At 36.7% G+C, this 24,693-nt stretch overlaps 1 long non-coding RNA gene across 1 annotated transcript in view; it reads left to right on the top strand.

Moving 5' to 3' along the window:
- Window positions 1-7,671, top strand: part of RXFP1-AS1 (RXFP1 antisense RNA 1) — a 75,659-nt gene extending 67,988 nt beyond the window's left edge. The window contains exon 4 of the long non-coding RNA XR_007058351.1: window positions 5,787-7,671. This is a non-coding gene — a long non-coding RNA (RXFP1 antisense RNA 1). The remainder of the gene's footprint in view (window positions 1-5,786) is intronic.
- The last annotated feature ends 17,022 nt before the right edge of the window (window positions 7,672-24,693 follow it).

Here is a 24,693-nt window from a genome sequence, read left to right as displayed (position 1 = left end):
TCACTTCCTTTATTTTCCATATTTTTCATCTGTATTGCTATCTTTTGTAGTCTTTCAATATTTTCCTCATATATTTTAATGTTTAATTCAAACCAGATGTTGGATCCTGATAATTTAGTCAATTCAGCAATTATATATTCTTTTCGAGATCTTATGGTAGAAGGGAATTAGGGAATGCTGATTAGATTTATACATAACACAATTCAGCAAAGCAATTTAAAGCACTATAACAGAATATAATAAAATGCTGAGATGCATATTTTTTTCACGCATCAATGTCTGGCATTGAGAAGAGTAGAAAAAAGTAAGACTATGCAGATCAGTGATTTTTGGAGTTTCAGGAAAGTCTTAATAAGAAACTATTATGGCAGCTGAAAGAATGTCCAGCCAAGGAGACTCCTTTTACAGTGATTCTTCCACCTGTGCTTTAGCTTCAGCTGTGCTCTAAGGCGCCCCCTTGAGGGAGAACCTGTGCTCGATTTTCCCCTAGGTGGAATGAAATCTGGGCTCCTACCTATCACGTCAACAAGAGCAGTTGTGGTTTCATTTGTTTTATATATATGTGTCTTCTCTATAAGACTGTGTTTATATTATAAAGATTGTATTTATATATAAGATTTTATTTAACACAGCATTTCAGGAAAGAAAAATAAGAAAATCATCATTATGGACGATGAATAAGGTTACTCTCCACACACACACAAAATATTTCTTTTGATGGTTTGAATTCTTCTGTCAAATGTCAAAATGTTAAAATTTCATTACAGATAGCATTATTTGTGTTTACTATATGACTGCATGCTGTGCCTGTCTTCAAGTTCTAAGCTTACAAGATTTTGGGTATCAAATGAAAAATTCATAGCTTTAATTTTGCAGAATCATATACATTGGTAGTGAAAGAAAACCCAAGGAGGTATCAGGCCAGCTTTCTGATTTTGGAGAGTGAGTTATGGATATTTATATTAATATTTTATGGATGTCATATGTGAGACTCAAAAAAGAAACTTATCCAAGATGTATTATGACAAGAAGTGCTAGTAAAAATTAGATATTTCACGTAGATTTGTGTAGATTTTTCATTTCTCAGAACATATCCTCATCATCAAGTGAAGTATGACTGTATATGCATTTGTTGATCATTGGTAAATTTTGTTTCACAGTTTGATATTAGCAACAATATTGGTATAACTATCTTTTTATTGTCTACATCAGGGATTATCTGTTTTTGCAGAAATCGTATCATTGTTTTCCCCTAAATTTTTTGAATCATTGGCCCATCAATTGCTAAGAAAGGAGTGTTAAAATCTCCAAGTATGATCCTGGAATTGTCTATTGCTCCAGTAATTCTCATTTTTTTCTTTATATATTTTAAAGTCTGTATTAGGTACATACATATTTATGATTGTTATATCTTCCTGATTTATTGGTTCTTTTAGCATTATGAAATGTCCCTCTTTATTCCAGTAATACTCTTTGTCTTGAAGTCTACCTTATCTCATACTAATATAAACACTCTAGCCTTTCTCATGCCTATAGTTTGCATGGCATTTTTCTCCCAGCTATTTAATTTCAATCTATCAGCATCTTTATATTTAAAGTGCATCTTCTTTTTTTGTTTTGTTTAGATTTTTTGAGACAGGATCGCATACCGTCACCCAAGCTGAAGTGCAATGGTGCGAACATGGCTCACTGCAGCCTAGACCGACTGAGCTATGCAGTCTTCCCACCTCAGCCACCCGAATAGGTGGGACTATAGGTGTGTGCCACTACACCCAGCTAATTTATGTTTATTTTTATTTTTTAGAGACTAGGTCTCACTATGTTGCCCAGCCTGGTCTCGAGCTCCTAAGCTCAAGTGATCCTTCCGCCTCGGTCTCCCAAAGTGCTAAGATTACCAGCATGAGCCACTGTGCCCAGCCTGCATCTTCTTGAGATAACATGTTTGGGTGTTTAAAAAATTCATTCTGACAATCTCTATCTTTTAATTGGGGTGTTTAGTCCAACAACAGCTAATAGAATTACTGGCATGTTTACAATTAGGTCTACCATTTTACTATCTGTTTTCTGTTGTCCCCTCTGCTTCTTTGCTCCTATATTCCACCTTTCTTGCTTCCTTTTAGATTAATTGAATATTTTTAAACTATATTTTATTTATTAGATTTTCAGAGTTTTTTGCATTAGTTTCAATGGTTGCTCATGGAGTTACAATACACATTCTTAACTTCTCAGTCTACTTAGAGTTAATATTGTATGACTCCATGAAAAATGGAGAAACTTTGCGACTCCATAGGTCCATTTATTATAATTTTCATATGTATATGTATTTATTCTATAAACCACACAAAAGAATATTACAGTTTTTGCTTTGAAACCATATGCATTTTAAAGAAATTAGGAGAAAACAATATTCTCTTATATTGACCTAGATGTTTATAGATTCTCATGATTTTTATCAGGTATGATTTTTCTTCAGCCAAAAGAGCTTCTTTTTTTTTTTTTTTTTTTTTTTGAGACGGAGTCTCACGAAAGAGCTTCTTTAACATTAGTTTTATTGCAGAGCTGCTGGTGATGAACCCTGCTAGTTTTATTTTTATCTGGACATGTCTTTATTTTCATTCTTAAAAAATATTGAATCATTGTTCAAATTTGTTCAAATAATTGTTCAAATATGCTGTTCTTTTCCTGGCTGTTTTCAAGATTTTCTCTTTACTTTTTGGTTCTGTGGTTTGAATATGGTATGCCTAGATGCGGTTATCTTAAATTCACACTGCTTAGGGTTTTCTGCGCTTCTTGAATCTGTAAACATGTCCTCCCTAAAATTTGGGAGCTATTCATCCATTATGTCACCAAATATTTTTTTCTGTCCCACTTTCTGCTTCTAGGATCGATCATAATTTCCCATGTGTGAGATCTTTTGATATGTCCCTCACACTGTTTGAAAGTTCCCTAAGAAGTCTAGCTGGTTACCAACACCTTCAAATTAGAGCATTTATCTAGAAACACCAGTTGAAATTAATATTTCCCTTTTTGCTCTGGATATTAGAAAGCTGCAAAAACAATATTAAGGCTCAATCACAGAAAATATGTGAAACATACTTGACTCCTTTCCACACTTAAATTTTCAGTTTCCATTTTATTAACCCCATAATATTATTTTGTTACTATTACTATTTTGTTACTATTTTGCAAGCCATCTTTGTTTTGGAAGAGCCATAGTATAAAAAGTATGTAACATACAGTAAATGCCTATGAAGAAAATGAAAGCCTCCCCTCAAAAACCTACAGAAAATAATTCCGAATTGCCCAATTAATAAAAATCCATGAGTGCTATAGTTCAGGTGTGTCTTCCCCTCCAAATCTCATGTTGAAATTTGATCCCCAATATAGGAGATCAAATGAGAGGTGTTTGGGGCATGGAGGTGGATCCCTCATGAATATTAATACCCTCTCTAAGGGTAGGGGTGAGTGAGTTCTCAGTCTATTAGCTCCTGCAAGAACTGATTGTTAAAAAGAACCGGACACCTCCCCACTCTCTCTCTTGCTTCCTCTCTTGCTTGGGATCTCTGTGCATTGCCAGTCACCCTCCGCCATAAGTGGAAGGAGCCTGAAGCCCTCGCCAGAAGCAGATGCTTGTGCCATGCTTCTTGCTCTGCCTGCAGAACCATGAGCCAAATAAACCTCTTTTCTTTATAAATTACCCAGCTTTAGGTATTTCTTTAAAAGAACATACTAAATGAACTAAGACAGTGAGAATCTCACCAAAATTAAAATACAGTTAAATATTCATCTAAGGAGCATTATATGCATTAAAATATTACATTTACTATGTTAGATAAGAGATTAGCAAGCTTTAATCCTGGCCTTGAAAGAATTTAAAATTAAGAGAAACTTAAAATATACATATACAATAATTTTGTAATAAATTTATATAAACAACCAATTTGTAATATAAAGCATGGTGACCTTTGTTTTTATAAATAGGAAGCAAAGCTCTGTTGAGTCCAGAGAAGAAATGATGAGGAACTGGCATTTGAGGTGGATCTGAAATAATGTGTAAGATTTGGACAGATGGAGAAGTCAACAAGTCACATGGTGACCTATATTATGAAGTTAGCAGAATCTGAGGATTGGGAGCTGACCAAGAATGTGGAGTGGGTTGTTAAGTTAGCAGAGAATATGACTAAAATAGAGAAAGAAGAATTAAAGAGCTATGCTGCACTGAATATCAGGAACAACCTCACAGTAGATGGGTAGCAGAGAGCTTAAAATCTTGGAATCTGAGCTAAGTTGAAGATTAAATGGCACCATCTCTTATGAATGTGCTGTTATAGTGGGTATTGTTGTTGGTGGGGTATGTATGTGTACAGTTATAAGAAAGAAGACTAGACAAATGCTGTTGGTAATATACTTAGTACTCCAGCTGGCTTTTATTTGCCCCTAGTACTACATAACGCTCCTCCAGTGCACCAAATGGAACAGTCTCAGTAACTTCTGTTGGATAGTCAATTTTGGTTGCAGCTAAGGTAAAGAAGAAAGAAGAAAGGAGAGAGAGAGAGAGAGAGAGAGAGAGAGAGAGAGAGAGAGAAAGACAAAGAAAGAAAGAAAGAAAGAAAAAAAGAAATAAAGTTAGACAAATAGGTTGGGAGTAGATTGTTGCAGACTTCATTACTTTTTTAAAATATATTTTTAATTTATATAAAAAATAAAATGCGTATGTTGATAATCAAAAAATAGCTAAGGGCTTAGGATGAAATGTTCTCAGTTATATCTCTTTTCTTTTTCTTTTTCTTTTTTTTTGAGACGGAGTTTCACTCTTGTTGCCCAGGCTGGAGTGCAATGGCATGATCTTGGCTCACTGCAACCTCCACCTTCTGAGTTTAAGTGATTCTCCTGTCTCAGCCTCCCAAGTAGCTGGGATTACAGGCGCCTGCCACCATACCCAGCTAATTTTTGTATTTTTAGTAGAGACAGGGTTTCACCATATTGGCCAGGCTGGTCTTGAACTCTTGACCTCAGGTGATCCCCCTGCCTCACCCTCCCAAAGTGTTGTGATTACAGGTGTGAGCCACCGTGCCCGGCCTATATCTCTTTCAATTATCTACTTCCTCTATTGCAGAGATAGCTGTTTTTATTTTTTAAATTTTATTTATTTTTTGAGATTGCTATTTTTAAATTTTTCTTCTAGCAGTTTCAACCTACCACCATATACTATGCACATATTACTTAATTTAAACATGATCTATTAGTTTCTGCTATGATAGATAAAATTTAGCATACTTTTTCAAAACTTACTAAATTTCCTTTCCCCATACCAATATCATAATTAGTATACTTCTATTCCTCTTAATAAATTTCAATAATTTTTAAAATTCTTGTTCCATGAACTATGTGCAATAAATCTTGAATCCTCACATTCTAATGTGACTTAACTTCACCTTTTCTTTCTTTCATTCACCAAAATTTGTACATTTTAACTTTCACTTTAAATTGTTAAGGTTGATAAGATATAAATTCTATTTGGTAATCCTATTTCTTTTGGATTTTTGTCTAGTAATTGACAATGAATTTTGCAAGTCAGTAAATATATACTGTGCATTTTGTTATTGCTGTGCAATTGCTTTTGCTCTGGCTATCAGTATTGTATGATTATGTTGTCTTTTAAGCATCTTTTAATTTTTTATGAAGATTTTATTTACATTCCAAATTTATTGCACTGACTTTTTATTACATTCTGAAGTTCTTAGTAACTTCTCAAGAATAATATCACATCTTTAATTTTTTTTCAGTTAGCTTCTTCCTGGAATCCTGAATCTTCCTGCTACAGGATTTAGAGTGAGTTTATACCTATTATATTACTTCATATAATTTTAAGAGATCATGATAAAGAATGAAGATAAATACTTGTGGCTACTCTTCTATTTTGACCTTTGTAATTCCTTGACTGTTACTGAAGGAACAGGATGCTTGCTAGAAGCTAAATCCAACCTAGCTTCTTTTTGGATATCTCAGGCTTCTCAAACTTTGTATTTATGAAACACACTTCATTTATCTACCCAGCTCCTAGCCCAACCTTCACCTCTTTAAAATGCAAATGTTTTGGAAGAGCCTGTATAGCCAAGACAATCCTAAGCAGTAAGAAGAAAGCTGGAGTCACCTCACTACCTGACTTCAAACTATATTACAAGGCTACAGTAACCAAAACAGCATGGTACTGGTACCAAAACAGATATATAGACCAATGGAACAGAACAGAGGCCTCAGAAATAACACCACACATCTACGACCATCTGATCTTTGACAAACCTACAAAAACAAGCAATGGGGAAAGAATTCCCTATCTAATAAATGGTGCTGGGAAAAATGCCTAGCCATATGCAGAGAATAGAAATTGGACCCCTTCCTTACACCTTATACAAAAATTAACTCAAGATGGATTAAAGACTTAAATGTAAAACTCAAAACCATAAAACCCTAGAAAAAAACTTAGGCAATACCATTCAGGACATAGGCATGGGGCAAAGACTTAATGACTAAAACACTAAAAGCAATTGCAACAAAAGCCAAAATTGACAAATGGGATCTAATTACACTAAAGAGCTTCTGCACAGCAAAAGAAACTATCATCAGAGTAAACAGACAACCTACAGAATGGGAGAAAATTTTTGCAAGCTACTCATCTGACAAAGGTCTAATATCCAGAATCTACAAGGAAATTCAACAAATTTACAAGAAAAAAACAAAAAACCCAATCAAAAAGTGGGCAAAGGATATGAACAGGCACTTCTCAAAAGAAGACATTTACGCAACCAACAAATATATGAAAAAAAGCTCATCATCATGGTCATTAGAGGAAAGCAAATCAGAACCACAATGAGATACCATCTCATTAGAATGGTGATTATTAAAAAGTCAGGAAACAACAGATGCTGGCAAGGTTGTGGAGGAATAGGAATGCTTTTACACTGTTGATGGGAATGTAAATTAGTTCAACCATTGTGGAAGACAGTGTGGCAATTCCTCAAGGATCTAGAACCAGAAATATCATTTGACCCAGTAATCCCATTACTGAGTATATACCCAAAGGATTATAAATCATTCTACTATGAAGACACATACACACATATATGTATTGCAGCACTATTTATGATAGCAAAGACTTGGAACCAACCGAAATGCCCATCAATCATAGACTGGATAAAGAAAATGTGGCACATACACACCATGGAATACTATGCAGCCATAAAAAAGAATGAGTTCATGTCCTTTGCAGAGACATGTATAAAGCTGGAAGCCATCATTCTCAGCAAACTAACACAGGAAGAGAAAACCAACACTGCATGTTCTCACTCATAAGTGGAAGTTGAACAATGAGAACATATGAACACAGGGAGCGGAACATCACACACCAGGGCCTGTCAGGGGTTGGGGAGCAAGGGGAGGGAGAACATTAGGACAAATACCTAATGCATGCAGGGCTTAAAACCTAGAGGACGGTTGATAGATGCAGTAAACCACCATGGCACATGTATATCTATGTAACAAACCTGCACATTCTGCACATGTATCCCAGAAGTTAAAGTAAAATTAAAAATAAATAAATAAAATATAATAGAAAAAGAAAAAATGCAAATGTTTTGGAATGGATTAAATTTCTCTGAATGTCAAGCTGCTTTCTTTTTGTTTTGTGTTTTTTTCTTTTTTTTTTCCTTTTTTCTTTTTTTTTTTTTTGAGACACAATCTCCCTCTGTCACCCAGGCTGGAGTGCAGGGGCTCCATCTTGGCTCACTGCAACTTCTGCCTCCTGGGTTCAAGTGATTCTCCTGCCTCAGCCTCCCAAGTATCTGGGACTACAGGTACGTACCACCACCTCTGGCTAATTTTTGTATTTTTCGTAGAGAAGGGATTTCACCATGTTGTCCAGGTTAGTTTCAAATTCCTGGGCTCAAGTGATTTTCCTTGCCCTCCCAAGGTGCTGGGATCACAGGCATGAGCCACTGTACTGGCCTCAAACTGCTTTCTTAAGCCTTTTTCTCATCTTACTTTTATAAAGCCTTAGGTAAATCACATCAGTATCCTAGTTTCAGTTACCATCCATTTGCCATTAAGTCCTGAGTTTATATCTCCAGCTAAGATCTCTCTTTTGAGCTCCATACTTACCTACCAGAAACATCCTCTCTCAGTCTCACCAGCACCCTGACATCAGCATGCATAGAGCGCATCATCATCTTTCCTCCCGATTCTGCTCCTCTTGTGGTCCTTGCCACATGGCTTGCCTAAGCCAAGAATCTGGGAATCACTCTTGACTCCTTTCTTTTTCTCACTTCCTCCATCTCACCAATAGTTAATTGCTATCAAATCTATCATAAAGCTTTCTCAATTTCATTCCATTTCCTAATCCCCACTGTCAGTATGTTAGCTGATGCCACCATCTGAATTATTTCAGCACCTTCCCAATTAGTTTCTTTGACTCTCTTTACCTCTGCCATGGACACCTGGTTTTCTCCATTGCTCTGATCATCTTTTAGGAGATTTTCCTTTAGGAAAATAGAAAAGAGCCACAGATGCTCTTGCTATGTACTTTTACATCATCCCAAGCATTTCCTATTCATAACAGTATCTTATTTTGTTGAATAATGTTTTTCTGCATCCTATTCTATGAACTAATTAAAGCTGTGTCTATCTTACCCAATGTTGTATTTCTTGTGCCTAGCACAATGTCTGAAGCATAGCAGAGGCTTAATATATGTTTTTGAGTGTTGAACAATTGAATGAATGTCATGCTTAGTATTTCTTTAGAAGCTCTTTTCCCATTTTGATCTTTCCGGCATATAAATATCAAATCAATTTAATCACATCCCAAGAGGCAGCTTTGACTATACATGTCTCATTTGGTTATTAAAACATCCATTTTCCTCAATTTCACTTTTTAATGGAATTTTATCTTTCAATGCTTGTAAAACATTTTGTACTCTCATTTTTCTGCTTCCTACTTAGGATGTCTATGAATATGTACCATTTGCTGTTCTCCAGGGCCTCTGGTTTCTCAGTACTCTTTTGTAGTAATTAAGCTATGTTTTTTAATTCAAGGAGACAAGTGTTCATTTAGAAATATAATAAAAGGTTTTATCTGCTAAGGCAAATGTAATTGAATAGAGACAAAAATGTTGTAAATATACCTGACAATTCAGGATATACATTAGTGAGCCTCTTAACCCTTGAATAAGTATCCTAATCAAGCATATCCTAAATACTTACCATTTAAATTCTAAAACAGGAACTGCCTTGGCCATGAATTTAATACACTGAATCACAAATATGTGATGTCATAGTGACCAAGTCATTTAATGACTCTTTACATAGTGATAAAAGATTCAATTTTTTAGTGATAAAACATTCAATTTTTGAAGAGTTCATTGGAGCAAGTAGCAATTAATGAATTAGATAGCTCCAGACCACAGGTGGTTTGGGGCTTCAGTGAAGGAGTGTGGGGGGAAGGCTTTTATAAGGTGAACGTAGAAGCAAGGCAAAGAAAATGTTAGATTAAAGTGGAGCAGTTGCCTCAAAATCCGTAGTTAGAGGTTTGTTGGCAGTTTCTACTTGGTAAAACTAAGTTTCATTTTCCTAGGATAGGACTATTCATGCTGAATTGGGTTTTGGCTTGCTTAGTGGCCTAGTTTGTTTAGTAGGAAGGATGGAAGCACAAATAATACAAGAGAATATATGTGATAAAGAGGTAGAGAAGATGACAGTTGATGGAATTTCTACAAAATAAGCCTTGTTTTTATTCCAAAGTAGGAGGCAAAGGCCTTTGGTTAGATCTAGGGGTTGAAGAGAATGTCAGACAGGGTCTTTTATCTTTATAGTACTTAGCATTGTACTTGGCTGTTATGAATTAAATTGTCCCTTGCACCCCAAATTCATTTGCTGAAGTCATAACCACCAGTCCCTCACCATGTTGCCCAGAATATGACTATATTTGAAAATATGTCATTGCAGATGTAATTAGTTAAGATGAGGTCACACTGGAGTAGGGTGGGCCCTTAAACCAACATGTCTAGTGTACTTATAAAAAAGGGAAGTTTGGACACAGACATACAAAAAAGAAAGATGGTATGAAGAAACATAGAAAGAAAATGATCAAGCCAAGGAGACAGACCTGGAACAAATCCTCTCTTCATAGCCCTTGGTAGGAGTCAACCTTGCTAGCACATTGATCTTGGATTTTTAGCCTTCAGAACTGTGAGACAATAAATATCTGTTGTCTAAGCCTCTTAGGTCTAGGCAATCCTAGGTATACTGGCCATGATAGTAGGAAGTCAATACTTGGTGAATTAATAAATGGATAAATGAGTAAATAAATGCATGATTAAGTGGGGTGGGACTAGGGGAAGACTCTCAGGGTTGAGGAGAACAAGAAAAATTTTGGTCAGTTTTTAAGTTATCTCAAAACTTTGAAATAGTTCTTGGAGTTCAGTGGTGCTTTGGAGATAACGGTAAATTTGAAATTCAAATGAAGATACATGGAAGGAAGGTGATAAATTAGTGGTTTAGAAGTGATGAGATGGAGCAAGGCAAGAATAAACTTCTTTTCCTGCCCCACTGAATTAAAGGAGAATTAGAAAAGGTGAACCTTTAACAATGTGAGCAATTGAGGATATGGTACAAAAAATTTTCATTATCTGCTGTTCTAGACCTCATGTACATTGACAGTCTTTGAAGTGCTCAGCAAGATCTCTTTTAAGCTACCAGTGTCCATAAAATAGTTGATGTCACGTCAGGAGCCCAAGGATGTGTGTGCATGCTAATGTTTTCCACTTTGATAATTCTGGCATTTTTTTGAATAGGTTCTTCGGATATTTTCCTATTATCTACCTTGATAAAATGAATGTTTTCAGATGTCCTTCCTCACCTCTCCTTAGGTGCTTTGAACACGCAGTGATATGCTGTAGAAGCCAAGAAGAAAATGCAAATGCCTTCCAGGTAATGAATGTCAGAATTTAGTCATTATGTTTGAAAGATGTGTTTTATAGGCAATATCTATACACATGAACAACACAGGTGAAGATGAGGGCACTGCCTTGCTCTTAAAGATAACACAATATTAAAAAATAAGACACTCGGCTAGACATTTATTTTTTGTTATATACACACATTGATTCCCATAGGAAATATTTATAAAATGATGTTGCCTCTTAGAAAAGCAGACACCCGGTGATCACACTGCAGAAAGGATCCTTTGTGCATCATGATAGTCTCAGGGAGGTCAGTGGGCCCTGCAGTACAGTGCTCCTTGAGTTTTGAAGAGTCCCCAGGCTAGATTCCCAAACACCTGGAGCTGTGGCTCTTTACTGGGTTTGGATTCTTATTTTTGGAAAAAGTTTCCCATTTCTTCCACTTGCAGTTCTTCCACTACAATTTTTATGCTTCTAGTGCTTTAGAGTTAACTTCAAAATTATCTATTAAAGTCACACGCCTATCCAGGTGGATCATAGAGAGTACATGTGTTAGTGGGTGACTTTTAATGGTGAGCTCATTAGCTTGGGTGGTAGGTAATCTATGAGAAGATTATAGAGTTTCTGTCCCACTGCTTATGTGGGTGCAAGTAATTAACATGGTTTTCCTGCTCTAGGAAGTTGTAGGGGAGCAAAATGTGCCACTCCAAAATGTGTTACCTTGGCATAAAGATTATTTTGAGTTGGAGGCAAATAAGAAACAACAGATGAAGAAAGAAACCTTTCCAGAGCTTCTCTTATTTAACTAAAAGCAGAAATTTCTGAGAAATGAGAACCACCATAAATCATCTCTCCTGTGGAAGTTTTATGACCACAAAAAAGATGGAAAGTCAGTCCTGAGATGGACCCGCATAAACAAATCTTACTCTGTTTCCCACACATAGTTACCTTCCCACAGTTTGCCACCTTTGGAAGCCTAAAACCCTTTTCCTTTGTCTTGTCCCTTCTCTATAAATTTCTTTTTCTTTGCTAAGAGGCTATATAAGCTGAAGTTCTAACCACAACTTTGAGTTACTCATCAATGAGGTTTCTTCCATGTGATGTGCACTACACACATTCATAAACTGTTTATTTTTCTCTTGTGAATGTGTCTTTTGTCAGTCTAATACTCAGGGTTCCAGCCAATGTACCTAAGATGGGTATAAGAAATTTCCTCCCATCCAAAGTCATCTAAACCTATTTCTTCTTCTGCAGAACTTGTTGAGCTACTAAAACACATCTTTAACAAGCGGGATAAGGAGAAATATGACACACCACCCAAGCCAGGCAACTGCCTTCTCTCTAAGACTTTCTCTCAGTTCCATGTTGCTATTCAACCTCCCACTAAGTCATGTTCCGCGGTTAACTTCTTTTTTAAGCTCTCCTAACTGAACTGTGAGCTTCTGATTTGTAGCTTCTTCTCCTGGAGTAGGCTTGTGCTTATTTCCCACCTGTATTTGTCTTTCTAATCAGGATAATGCTGTTTGCCTTAGCCAGTTCCATGAGCTCAACCTACAGTCTCTTAGGGAAGGTGTTATTATAAATTCCAAAGGACTTACCAAATGACTAGACACACATGAAACACTGAAGAAATATAAAATGGTGCAGGCATAATTAGTTGATGGGGACTGTCTTACCATTACACACTGACTGAACTCCAGTTATATTAAAATAGTTAAGAGTTTGGCAACCAGATGGGGCAATCAGGCCATTTGAGAACCAAAGTAAACCTGGTGAGAAACAAATGGATTGTTTCTAAATATCAGTTTATTAATGTTATTAATGTTTATCATTTTAGCTAACATTTGTTGAGTACCTGCTCTGTGCCAAACACCAGAGCTAAATGCTTTACATTTAACGGTAATTATGGGGATGATATTATTATCTCTATTTCTTAGATGAGGAAATTAAAGCTTGGAGAAATTAAACAAGATGCTCCAAGTCACAGAACTTAAATGGCACATAAGTGGTTGGGATTTGAACCTGCATCTGTCTAAATTTACAGTATGTGGTCTTGACAAGGGAGATACTCTTTGTTGTTATGTTTGGGAAGTGGTGGGCCCAACTGCTCTCAGAGAGAAAACATTGTCAGAGAGCAGCGTTGCTCAGAGGATTCTGCCAGTAATTGTCTCTAAAAACAGTCTCTTTATACCCAGTAATGGGACTGCTGGGTCAAATGGTATTTCTGGTTCTAGATCCTTGAGGAATCACCACACTGTCTTCCACAATGGTTGAACTAATTTACACTCCCACCAACAGTGTAAAAACATTCCTATTTCCCCACATCCTTGCCAGCATCTGTTGTTTCCAGGCTTTTTAATGATCGCCATTCTAACTGGCATGAGATGGTATCTCATTATGGTTTTCATTTGCATTTTTCTAATGACCAGTGATGATGAGCTTTTATTCATAAGTTTGTTGGCCACATAAATGTCTTCTTTTGAGAAGTGTCTATTCATATCCATTGCCCACTTTTTGATGGGTTTGTTTTTTTTCTCGTAAACTTGTTTAAGTTCCTTGTAGATTCTGGATATTAGGCCCTTGTCAGATAGATTGCAAAAATTTTCTCCTATTCTGTAGGTTATCTATTCACTCTGATGATAGTTTACTTTGCTGAGCAGAAGCTCTTTAGTTTAATTAGATCCCATTGGTCAATTTTGTCTTTTGTTGCAATTGCTTTTAGTGTTTTAGTCATGAAGTCTTTGCCCATGCCTATAAATCATTCTACTATAAAGACACATGCACACATGTGTTTATTGCAGCACTATTTATAATAGCAAAGACTTGGAACCAACCCAAACCCCCATCAATGATAGACTGGATAAAGAAAATGTGGCACATATACACCATGGAATACTATGCAGCCATAAAAAGAATGAGTTCATGTCCTTTGCAGGGACATGGATGAAGCTGGAAACCATCATCCTCAGCAGACTAACACAGGAAAAGAAAACCAAACACTGCATGTTCTCACTCATAAGTGGGAGCTGAACAATGAGAACACGTGGACACAGGGAGGGGAACATCACACACTGGGGCCTGTCACGGGGTGGGGGGATAGGGGAGGGAGAGCATTAGGACAAATACTTAATGCACGCGGAGCTTAAAACCTAGATGACGGGTTGATAGGTGCAGCAAACCACCATGGCACATGTATACTTATGTAACAAACTGGCACATTCAGCACATGTATCCTAGAACTTAAAGTAAAATAACAAAATAAAAAGAAATAAACAGAAAAAAGAAAATGGGCACAAAGAAACTCTGGAAGATAATGGAAAAAAAATCTCTTTCTTCAGCTTGGTCTTCAGCCTTCACTTAACACTGCACCACATTCTTAGAAATGTTTCTTATAAAGTTGTTTAGGTTGATTCTCCTTGTTCCATGTTCTTTTCACAGGTTATGACACCAGTTTGATCTGAGGGAGTGATCTTTGCCTTACCACTCCTGCTCCGTAAGAATAAAGGGACATCAGAAGTTTCCTTCTGCAATGACTGCATAACCTACCCCTGTCCCCATAAAGGGTATAAACTCAGATGACCTTAGTTATTATTCCCATGGTGATTTTAGAAAGAGTTTATGTGTTCATATGCAAGTGTGCATACACATTGGAACAGCAAAGATAAAACATGATACATTGTTGTTAACCTTCAAGTCTCTTTATATCCTTTAGTAATTGCACAAGAGGGCCAGAGTCACATGTGAAACTAATTGCAGAAGATCATATTGAGTAGCATACCCACTAAAATGCTGTTATGAGTTTACATTATTTGCTAAAAGATTGAATATGAGAAAAAATTCTGATTTTTACACATTATTTCCAAAAGGAGTCAACTCCATTTTAAAAATGCTACTGTTTGGGGAGGGGGGTCTCCTTATTTCAATGAAATGACTATCTGAAAAGTACACATATTGTTTTGTTTATAAAAATCTCTGGTGTGTTTTGTTTGTCCTTTTCTAACCACTTCACTTAGCAAATTGGTTTTTGCCCAGATGTTTTATACATGCTGTATTATTTGACTATCTGTTGTCTTTGACACATTGTTTTTCTGAGTTTTATTTATTTTTAAAAAGTTGTCTCTCAGTGAGTTGCTCATTTTACTACTTATACAGATACTCATGCTGTATGTGAAATAAAGACCATTTGTTGTTTTTTAAAAGATCAGTGTATTTCTGTCTGAGAAACGTTCCCAGCTTCTATATAATATGTGTTTTCATGTACAGCTGTCAGTCCTGGGTGATGGATTGCAATGAAAATTGGTCAGTACAAAATGGCACAAGTGACCAGAGAGCTTGGTGGATGTGGCACAGAGAGGAGAGCGTCAGGTCACAAGTTGGAGAAAGCCAAGTGAGTTAACATTGCAAGATGAGAAAAGCAAGTACCTAAATTCAGAGGATGAAGCTGACATCAGAGTCAAGAGATAGTGACATCAGGGGTATAGGCTCATGGAGAGACTACTGAAGAGTTACAGCAGAGGTTTGGAGGGGGTGGTACAATTCAGACAGAAAGATCAAGGAACGGAATCTAACAGAGCAAGAATATGGAAACGTGAGAGTTTGAGAGTCTAGTAACAGGTGATGGGTCCGTAACTGTGTCTTAGAAGAATATAATTCCTCATCTCTGGAAAAAGGAAGGATGATGTCTGAGAGTTGGGTAGTACTTCCTAGACTAGAGAAAGGCATACCACTGAGGTGTTTTGGGTAAATTGTCTCAACAAGGGGAAGGTTAAGCTCTCCTGGAATATTGACTTCTTTTTTTTTTTAATTTTTTGAGACGGGGTCTCGCTCTGTCGCCCGGGCTGGAGTGCAGTGGCGCAATCTCGGCTCAGTGTCAGCTCCGCCTCCCGGGTTCACACCATTCTCCTGCCTCAGCCTCCCAAGTAGCTGGGACTACAGGTATCCGTCACCACGCCCGGCTAATTTTTTGTATTTTTAGTAGAGACGGGGTTTCACTGTGTTAGCCAGGATAATCTCGATCTCCTGACCTCGTGATCTGCCCGCCTCGGCCTCCCAAAGTGCTGGGATTACAGGTGTGAGCCAGTGCACTCAGCCGGAATATTGACTTCTTGACTGGCATATTCTGAGTAATAATGATATAATCCTTGTAGTTGGTAAGGCTTACTTGGAAATTATGACATAAAGTAAGTACTAAATGACAGTCTTGTTTGGTTACCAGATACCAGCTAAATTGGCCATGCTCAGGAGTCTCGGCTATCAATATGTGCCCATCTTCCAAATAGCATTATTGGGTTTTGCTTTTCAATAATCTTAAAATGCATCTCTGCTGTAAATAAAGAGGAAATTATGAAATGATTTTAGACATTCGAGTTTGAGGCTAGTATTCTTATGAAAATAAGCAATCCATTTTCCCAATACGACCCATTCCTGCTCAGCAGTCATAGCCCTTGCTGTGACAGAAAACTCCAATTTCTATGGCAAGATAAGAGTTTCTAAGCACTTGCTAAGGTCAGTAACATGATTCATGGAAGCAAAACTGGAAATTCTTGGAAAGGCTAGGTGCTGGTTTATGCAGCTGGTCTGATGACAGGCACAGAAGATAGCTCAGAAAGGCAGACTTTGGAACAGTACATGTGGATCTTTCCACAAACATGAATCGTTCTTGGAAAGTTTATTCAGTTTATTGGACATGGTAGTCTCCTTCCCTATCAGGGATGAATGCTTCCATTGACCGATGTCAAAAGACTAAATCCCACCATTAGTTTCAGAAATCTCAAAGAACAGAGCTTTAAAAGAGGTATAAGTGTTTTCTTCTTTTAAGAGATATTTGAAACTCTGGCAAGGGTCTTGAACTATAATTTGTATAAACTGGGATGCATTCATGGAAAAAGAGGCTGTTGTGCAAACTACTGGGATTCAGGGATACTGACATAAAAATGAGTAAAATTAGACTTTACTTCTCCTTCTCCTGCTGATTGAATTTACTTGATGCCCTTCGATGAGTCATGGAATGTCTTTGTATCTCAACTTTTTCCTTTGAAAATGTGAATAAGGTTGATATACAGTATAAATAAGAGTTTGTTTATAGTCCATGGCTCTTTGGATATTTTGTATATATACTTGTAACACTGCCTGTATTCCAGATAAATTCCTCAATAAATCAGATTTTGGAAAAATCCAACAAGAAGACGGCAAACCCTATCTATTTTTTGTTTGAAGCTGATTCATGACAGAAAAATGAGGTTTGATATTCATTGCCTTTTCTTCTCCCTCAAATACCAATTTTTTGGAACAAAATAGAATTGCTGCTTCTTTCAAGTTATTTTTTTCAAGAAGAATTTGAACTTGCTCATTGCATTTTATTCTAAAGAAATTGTGCTTTTAAAAGCCCTCTCCCTATATATTTTACAAGCAAATTGTTTTGACATTGAATTTGTTAACTTTTTAATTTTAAAGTAATTGACTCTGAGACCCCTCTCTCAATTTAAACTAAGAATATAAAATTTCTCAAAAATTATCCTGAATAAAATTGATAATAAAGGGTTTTATAGAACTTGCCTCAGTTTACCAATAAAACTCTAATTCAGATTCTGTTGTTAATTTCAGAATGAGGAGATAGTAGAAAACAAGGCGACACTTATTGCCAAGAGAGATCTTTAAGTTACATCATTTATTGATTGGATTATTTTACATGTGTAATGAGATTCTTGATTCTAATTACATATACCTTAAAATTATTTAATTAAATGTGAAGTTGGATTTCAAACTTGTTTGCTTAATGGAAACACCGGAGGAACTTACAATTGGTGCATATACAGGTCTTTCCTCCAGATATCCTGATTCAACTGATCTGGGTTTGGCTTTGGCATCAAGAGTTTTAAGAGTTCATCATGTGATCTTAATAGTGCAGCCACTGGTCTACAGATGGGACATGATTGGGAATCAAAAAACATCGGCTTCAATAATAATCCTCATTAAATAGAAGGTACCTGAGGATAAGGCAGGAGGCAGAAGCCAAACACTACATCTACCATACTACCTCTAGCTAAGATGAAGCTTCAAGATGATAGATTAGGTTTTTTTATTCTTCTTATCTAGAAGATCTGACCTTGCAAAATATTGTTTTGGATTGGCAGTGATGAAATTGTCATAGCTTCTGGAGGGGTTATCTAATTCTCTAATGTGTACATTTTCTGTATTATAGTAATAATGGATAGAAACAAGTCGTTGGCCTTTTAAAATCAGTTTTTTGGCAACAGCAGCACAATGTAATAAAAAATAAAAGCATCTTCTAAGGCTCCAGTGTAATTTCTCTTTCAAAAGCTTTGAGACCAATTTTTCTTGTAAGTATAATGAAAAACCTTGCTTTGTCATGAGTATTGAATACTTAAAAGGGTCTGAACAGAATTTGAAAAATTTCTAGAGAAAGCTGAATTGACTTTTATATAAGCATACTCACTCAGAAAATACACTAGCCAATGACATGTCTAAATATTTCATTCTCTAATAAAAATATGAACTGCTACCCTAGGAAATGAAATAGGAAAGACAGCATAAATAAGTGTTTCAATGATTACAAATACCATCTAGGTGCTGTGTCCTGTGTGTACCTTGGTGATTGTTATCTCACCTTCTAGTCTTCCCGCATGTAACCAAGTAAGATGATCACTACTAGTTCCCAGGTTGGAGAAATTTGAAGTTTAGAGTGAACTGTGATGAAGGTTAGCTCTGGAAGTGATGCTGACACCTTCTGATACAAAATTTATCTCTAAGTTCCTTTAGAAGCTCAGAAAACCTCACCAGGATAACTTTTCAATTTTTCTTTGGCTGACAATTAAAAGAAAACATTTTTCTAATTATGCAATTTGGAAATGATTCCAATTGATTCCAATATCATCAAACACTTTTCATATTGAGTGGACTTGATAAAAGATTACATTAATTCATGTAATAAAATAGAAAAACTATAATTGAAATCTGAATGAGGGAAGACATACAATAATGCAAGATGGGGAAAAACGAGTTTAAAATATGCAGGTCATGGTGTTCTACACAGTTACTAAAGTTGAGCAACAGATTTGGTTCTAAGTTTCCTGGTTTTCAAAGAAAAAAGGGCACAAGAAAAAGATTACATATTTTTATGTCATCTCTGAAAAGAAAACACACTAGTTCTCAGGGAAAAATTCACATTGTTCTCAGAAAGACAGACAAGAATAAACTCCTCAAAAATCATTATCGGAGAGAGGAGGGCTGAACTGTTCTATGCCCTCCTCAGTCAGTAAATTCCTTAAATATTTAGAGTCTGCTACTTCTGTCAACAACTTTGAGAAAGCTGAATATCAATTTATGCTGGCTCAGTGGATCCAAAGTATGCTATCAAGTCTTTTCATAGAGACTTCATCATTAACCAAGTCTGAAGAGATGTGTGAGGGGCTGTGTTTATGCAAACCCACCAATTCTCAAATAGTGTCACTACTATTGTTATATAACACTGTTATATCTCTCATTTGGATTCATTCCTGAAACCAAAGTGATATCCACATTAACCAATTGGATCCATGGATCCATGTTGCTTTTAATTTATACAGAAGTTATAGACTGTTCAGGGTGAAATTAAGACGGGTTCTTGTCTCTACCACTGTCTCAGAATCTCCTATGGAAAACGTATAAAAATCCTGGGGCTGTGTGTGATTTCACAAAGTCAGAATATCTGAGAGGTGAAGGTCTAGCATCAATATTTTAAAAAAGTTTTGCAGGTGATTTTGAAGCAACGTCAGAATTGAAAATAACTGCAGTGTATGTGTCGAGGAATTTATCCATTTCTTCTAGATTTTCTAGTTTATTTGCGTAGAGGTGTTTGTAGTATTCTCTGATGGTAGTTTGTATTTCTGTGGGATCCATGGTGATATCCCCTTTATCATTTTTTATTGCGTCTATTTGATTCTTCTCTCTTTTTTTCTTTATTAGTCTTGCTAGCGGTCTATCTATTTTGTTGATCCTTTCAAAAAACCAGCTCCTGGATTCATTAATTTTTTGAAGGGTTTTTTGTGTCTCTATTTCCTTCAGTTCTGCTCTGATTTTAGTTATTTCTTGCCTTCTGCTAGCTTTTGAATGTGTTTGCTCTTGCTTTTCTAGTTCTTTTAATTGTGATGTTAGGGTGTCAATTTTGGATCTTTCCTGCTTTCTCTTGTGGGCATTTAGTGCTATAAATTTCCCTCTACACACTGCTTTAAATGTGTCCCAGAGATTCTGGTATGTTGTGTCTTTGTTCTCATTGGTTTCAAAGAACATCTTTATTTTTGCCTTCATTTCGTTATGTACCCAGTAGTCATTCAGGAGCAGGTTGTTCAGTTTCCATGTAGTTGAGCGGTTTTGAGTGAGATTCTTAATCCTGAGTTCTAGTTTGATTGCACTGTGATCTGCGAGATAGTTTGTTATAATTTCTGTTCTTTTACATTTGCTGAGGAGAGCTTTACTTCCAAGTATGTGGTCAATTTTGGAACAGGTGTGGTGTGGTGCTGAAAAAAATGTATATTCTGTTGATTTGGGGTAGAGAGTTCTGTAGACTAAACCAGGAAGAAGTTGAATCTCTGAATAGACCAATAACAGGATCTGAAATTGTGGCACTAATCAACAGCTTACCAAAAAGAGTCCAGGACCAGATGGATTCACAGCCGAATTCTACCAGAGGTACAAGGAGGAACTGGTACCATTCCTTCTGAAACTATTCCAATCAATAGAAAAAGAGGGAATCCTCCCTAACTCATTTTATGAGGCCAGCATCATTTGGATACCAAAGACGGGCAGAGACACAACCAAAAAAGAGAATTTTAGACCAATATCCTTGATGAACATTGATGCAAAAATCCTCAATAAAATACTGGCAAAACGAATCCAGCAGCGCATCAAAAAGCTTATCCACCATGATCAAGTGGGCTTCATCCCTGGGATGCAAGGCTGGTTCAATATACACAAATCAATAAATGTAATCCAGCGTATAAACAGAGCCAAAGACAAAAACCACATGATTATCTCAATAGATGCAGAAAAGGCCTTTGACAAAATTTAACAACGCTTCATGCTAAAAACTCTCAATAAATTAGGTATTGATGGGATGTATTTCAAAATAATAAGAGCTATCTATGACAAACCCACAGCCAATATCATACTGAATGAGCAAAAACTGGAAGCATTCCCTTTGAAAACTGGCACAAGACAGGGATGCCCTCTGTCACCACTCCTATTCAACATAGTGTTGGAAGTTCTGGCCAGGGCAATTAGGCAGCAGAAGGAAATAAAGGGTATTCAGTTAGGAAAAGAGGAAGTCAAATTGTCCCTGTTTGCAGACGACATGATTGTATATCTTGAAAACCCCATTGTCTCAGCCCAAAATCTCCTTAAGCTGATAAGCAACTTCAGCAAAGTCTCAGGATACAAAATCAATGTACAAAAATCACAAGCATTCTTATACACCAACAACAGACAAACAGAGCCAAATCATGAGTGAACTCCCATTCACAATTGCTTCAAAGAGAATAAAATACCTAGGAATCCAACTTACAAGGGATGTGAAGGACTTCTTCAAGGAGAACTACAAACCACTGCTCAAGGAAATAAAAGAGGATACAAACAAATGGAAGAACATTCCATGCTCATGGGTAGGAAGAATCAATATCATGAAAATGGCCATACTGCCCAAGGTAATTTACAGATTCAATGCCATCCCCATCAAGCTACAAATGACTTTCTTCACAGAACTGGAAAAAACTACTTTAAAGTTCATATGGAACCAAAAAAGAGCCCACATTGCCAAGTCAATCCTAAGCCAAAAGAACAAAGCTGGAGGCATCATGCTACCCGACTTCAAACTATACTACAAGGTTACAGTAACCAAACAGCATGGTACTGGTACCAAAACAGAGATATAGATCAATGGAACAGAACAGAGCCCTCAGAAATAATGCCGCATATCTACAACTATCTGATCTTTGACAAACCTGAGAAAAACAAGCAATGGGGAAAGGATTCCCTATTTAATAAATGCTGCTGGCAAAACTGGCTAGCCATATGTAGAAAGCTGAAACTGGATCCCTTCCTTACACCTTATACAAAATCAATTCAAGATGGATTAAAGATTTAAACGTTAGACCTAAAACCATAAAAACCCTAGAAGAAAACCTAGGCATTACCATTCAGGACATAGGCGTGGGCAAGGACTTCATGTCCAAAACACCAAAAGCAATGGCAACAAAAGCCAAAATTGACAAATGGGATCTAATTAAACTCAAGAGCTTCTGCACAGCAAAAGAAACTACCATCAGAGTGAATAGGCAACCTACAACATGGGAGAAAATTTTCGCAACCTACTCATCTGACAAAGGGCTAATATCCAGAATCTACAATGAACTCAAACAAATTTACAAGAAAAAAACAAACAACCCCATCAAAAAGTGGGCGAAGGACATGAACAGACACTTCTCAAAAGAAGACATTTATGCAGCCAAAAAATACATGAAAAAATGCTCATCATCACTGGCCATCAGAGAAATGCAAATCAAAACCACTATGAGATACCATCTCACACCAGTTAGAATGGCAATCATTAAAAAGTCAGGAAACAACAGGTGCTGGAGAGGATGTGGAGAAATAGGAACACTTTTACACTGTTGGTGGGACTGTAAACTAGTTCAACCATTGTGGAAGTCAGTGTGGCGATTCCTCAAGGATCTAGAACTAGAAATACCATTTGACCCAGCCATCCCATTACTGGGTATATACCCAAATGATTATAAATCATGCTGCTATAAAGACACATGCACACGTATGTTTATTGCGGCATTATTCACAATAGCAAAGACTTGGAACCAACCCAAATGTCCAACAATGATAGATTGGATTAAGAAAATGTGGCACATATACACCATGGAATACTATGCAGCCATAAAAAATGATGAGTTCATGTCCTTTGTAGGGACATGGATGAAATTGGAAACCATCATTCTCAGTAAACTATCGCAAGAACAAAAAACCAAAAACCGCATATTCTCACTCATAGGTGGGAATTGAACAATGAGATCACATGGTCACAGGAAGGGGAATATCACACTCTGGGGACTGTGGTGGGGTGGGGGGAGGGGGGAGGGGTAGCATTGGGAGATATACCTAATGCTAGATGACGAGTTAGTGGGTACAGCGCACCAGCATGGCACATGTATACATATGTAACTAACCTGCACAATGTGCACATGTACCCTAAAACTTAAAGTATAATAAAAAAAAAAAAGAGAGAGAGGATACAAAGAGGCACAAGGAAGTCTTTGGGGGTGAAGAATATGATAATTATCTATTTGCTGATGCTTTCATGGGTATATGCATATGTCAAAACAAAATTGTACTCTATAAAATGAGAGGCTTATTGTAAATACATTATACTTCAATAAAACTGTAAAATAAAAAAAAAAATCAATTCAAGATGGATTAAAGACTTAAACGTTAGACCTAAAACCAGAAAAACCCTAGAAGAAAACCTAGGCTTTACCATTCAGGACATAGGCATGGGCAAGGACTTCATGTCTAAAACACCAAAAGCAATGGCAACAAAAGCCAAAATTGACAAATGGGATCTAATTAAACTAAAGAGCTTCTGCACAGCCAAAGAAACTACCATGAGAGTGAACAGGCAACCTACAAAATGGGAGAAAATTTTCGCAACCTACTCATCTGACAAAGGGCTAATATCCAGAATCTACAATGAACTCAAACAAATTTACAAGAAAAAAACAAACAACCCCATCAAAAAGTGGGCGAAGGATATGAACAGACACTTCTCAAAAGAAGACATTTATGCAGCCAAAAAACACATGAAAAAATGCTCATCATCACTGGCCATCAGAGAAATGCAAATCAAAACCATAATGAGATACCATCTCACACCAGTTAGAATGGCAATCATTAAAAAGTCAGGAAACAACAGGTGCTGGAGAGGATGTGGAGAAACAGGAACACTTTTACACTGTTGGTGGGACTGTAAACTAGTTCAACCATTGTGGAAGTCAGTGTGGCGATTCCTCGGGGATCTAGAACTAGAAATACCATTTGACCCAGCCATCCCATTACTGCGTATATACCCAAAGGACTATAAATCATGCTGCTATAAAGACACATGCACACATATGTTTATTGCGGCATTATTCACAATAGCAAAGACTTGGAACCAACCCAAATGTCCAAAAATGATAGACTGGATTAAGAAAATGTGGCACATATACACCATGGAATACTATGCAGCCATAAGAAATGATGAGTTCATGTCCTTTGTAAAGACATGGATGAAATTGGAAATCATCATTCTCAGTAAACTATCGCAAGAACAAAAAACCAAACACCGCATATTCTCACTCATAGGTGGGAATTGAACAGTGAGATCACATGGACACAGGAAGGGGAACATCACACTCTGGGGACTGTTGTGGGGTGGGGGTAGTGGGGAGGGGTAGCATTGGGAGATATACCTAATGCTAGATGATGAGTTAGTGGGTGCAGCACACCAGCATGGCACATGTATACATATGTAACTAACCTGCACAATGTGCACATGTACTCTAAAACTTACAGTATAATAATAAAAGAAAAAAAAAACTTAAAAAAAAAAGAAAAGAACTGCAGAAGTAGTTGCTACTGTTTGCCAAAGAAAAAGATTATGCAGTGCATTAGAAGGAGGAGAAGGAGGAAGAGAAACTGTTAA

The sequence above is a fragment of the Homo sapiens genome, chromosome 4, assembly GCF_000001405.40.
Source record: "Homo sapiens chromosome 4, GRCh38.p14 Primary Assembly".
Classification (NCBI taxonomy): domain Eukaryota; kingdom Metazoa; phylum Chordata; class Mammalia; order Primates; family Hominidae; genus Homo; species Homo sapiens.
This window is presented reverse-complemented; position numbering and strand designations above follow the sequence as displayed.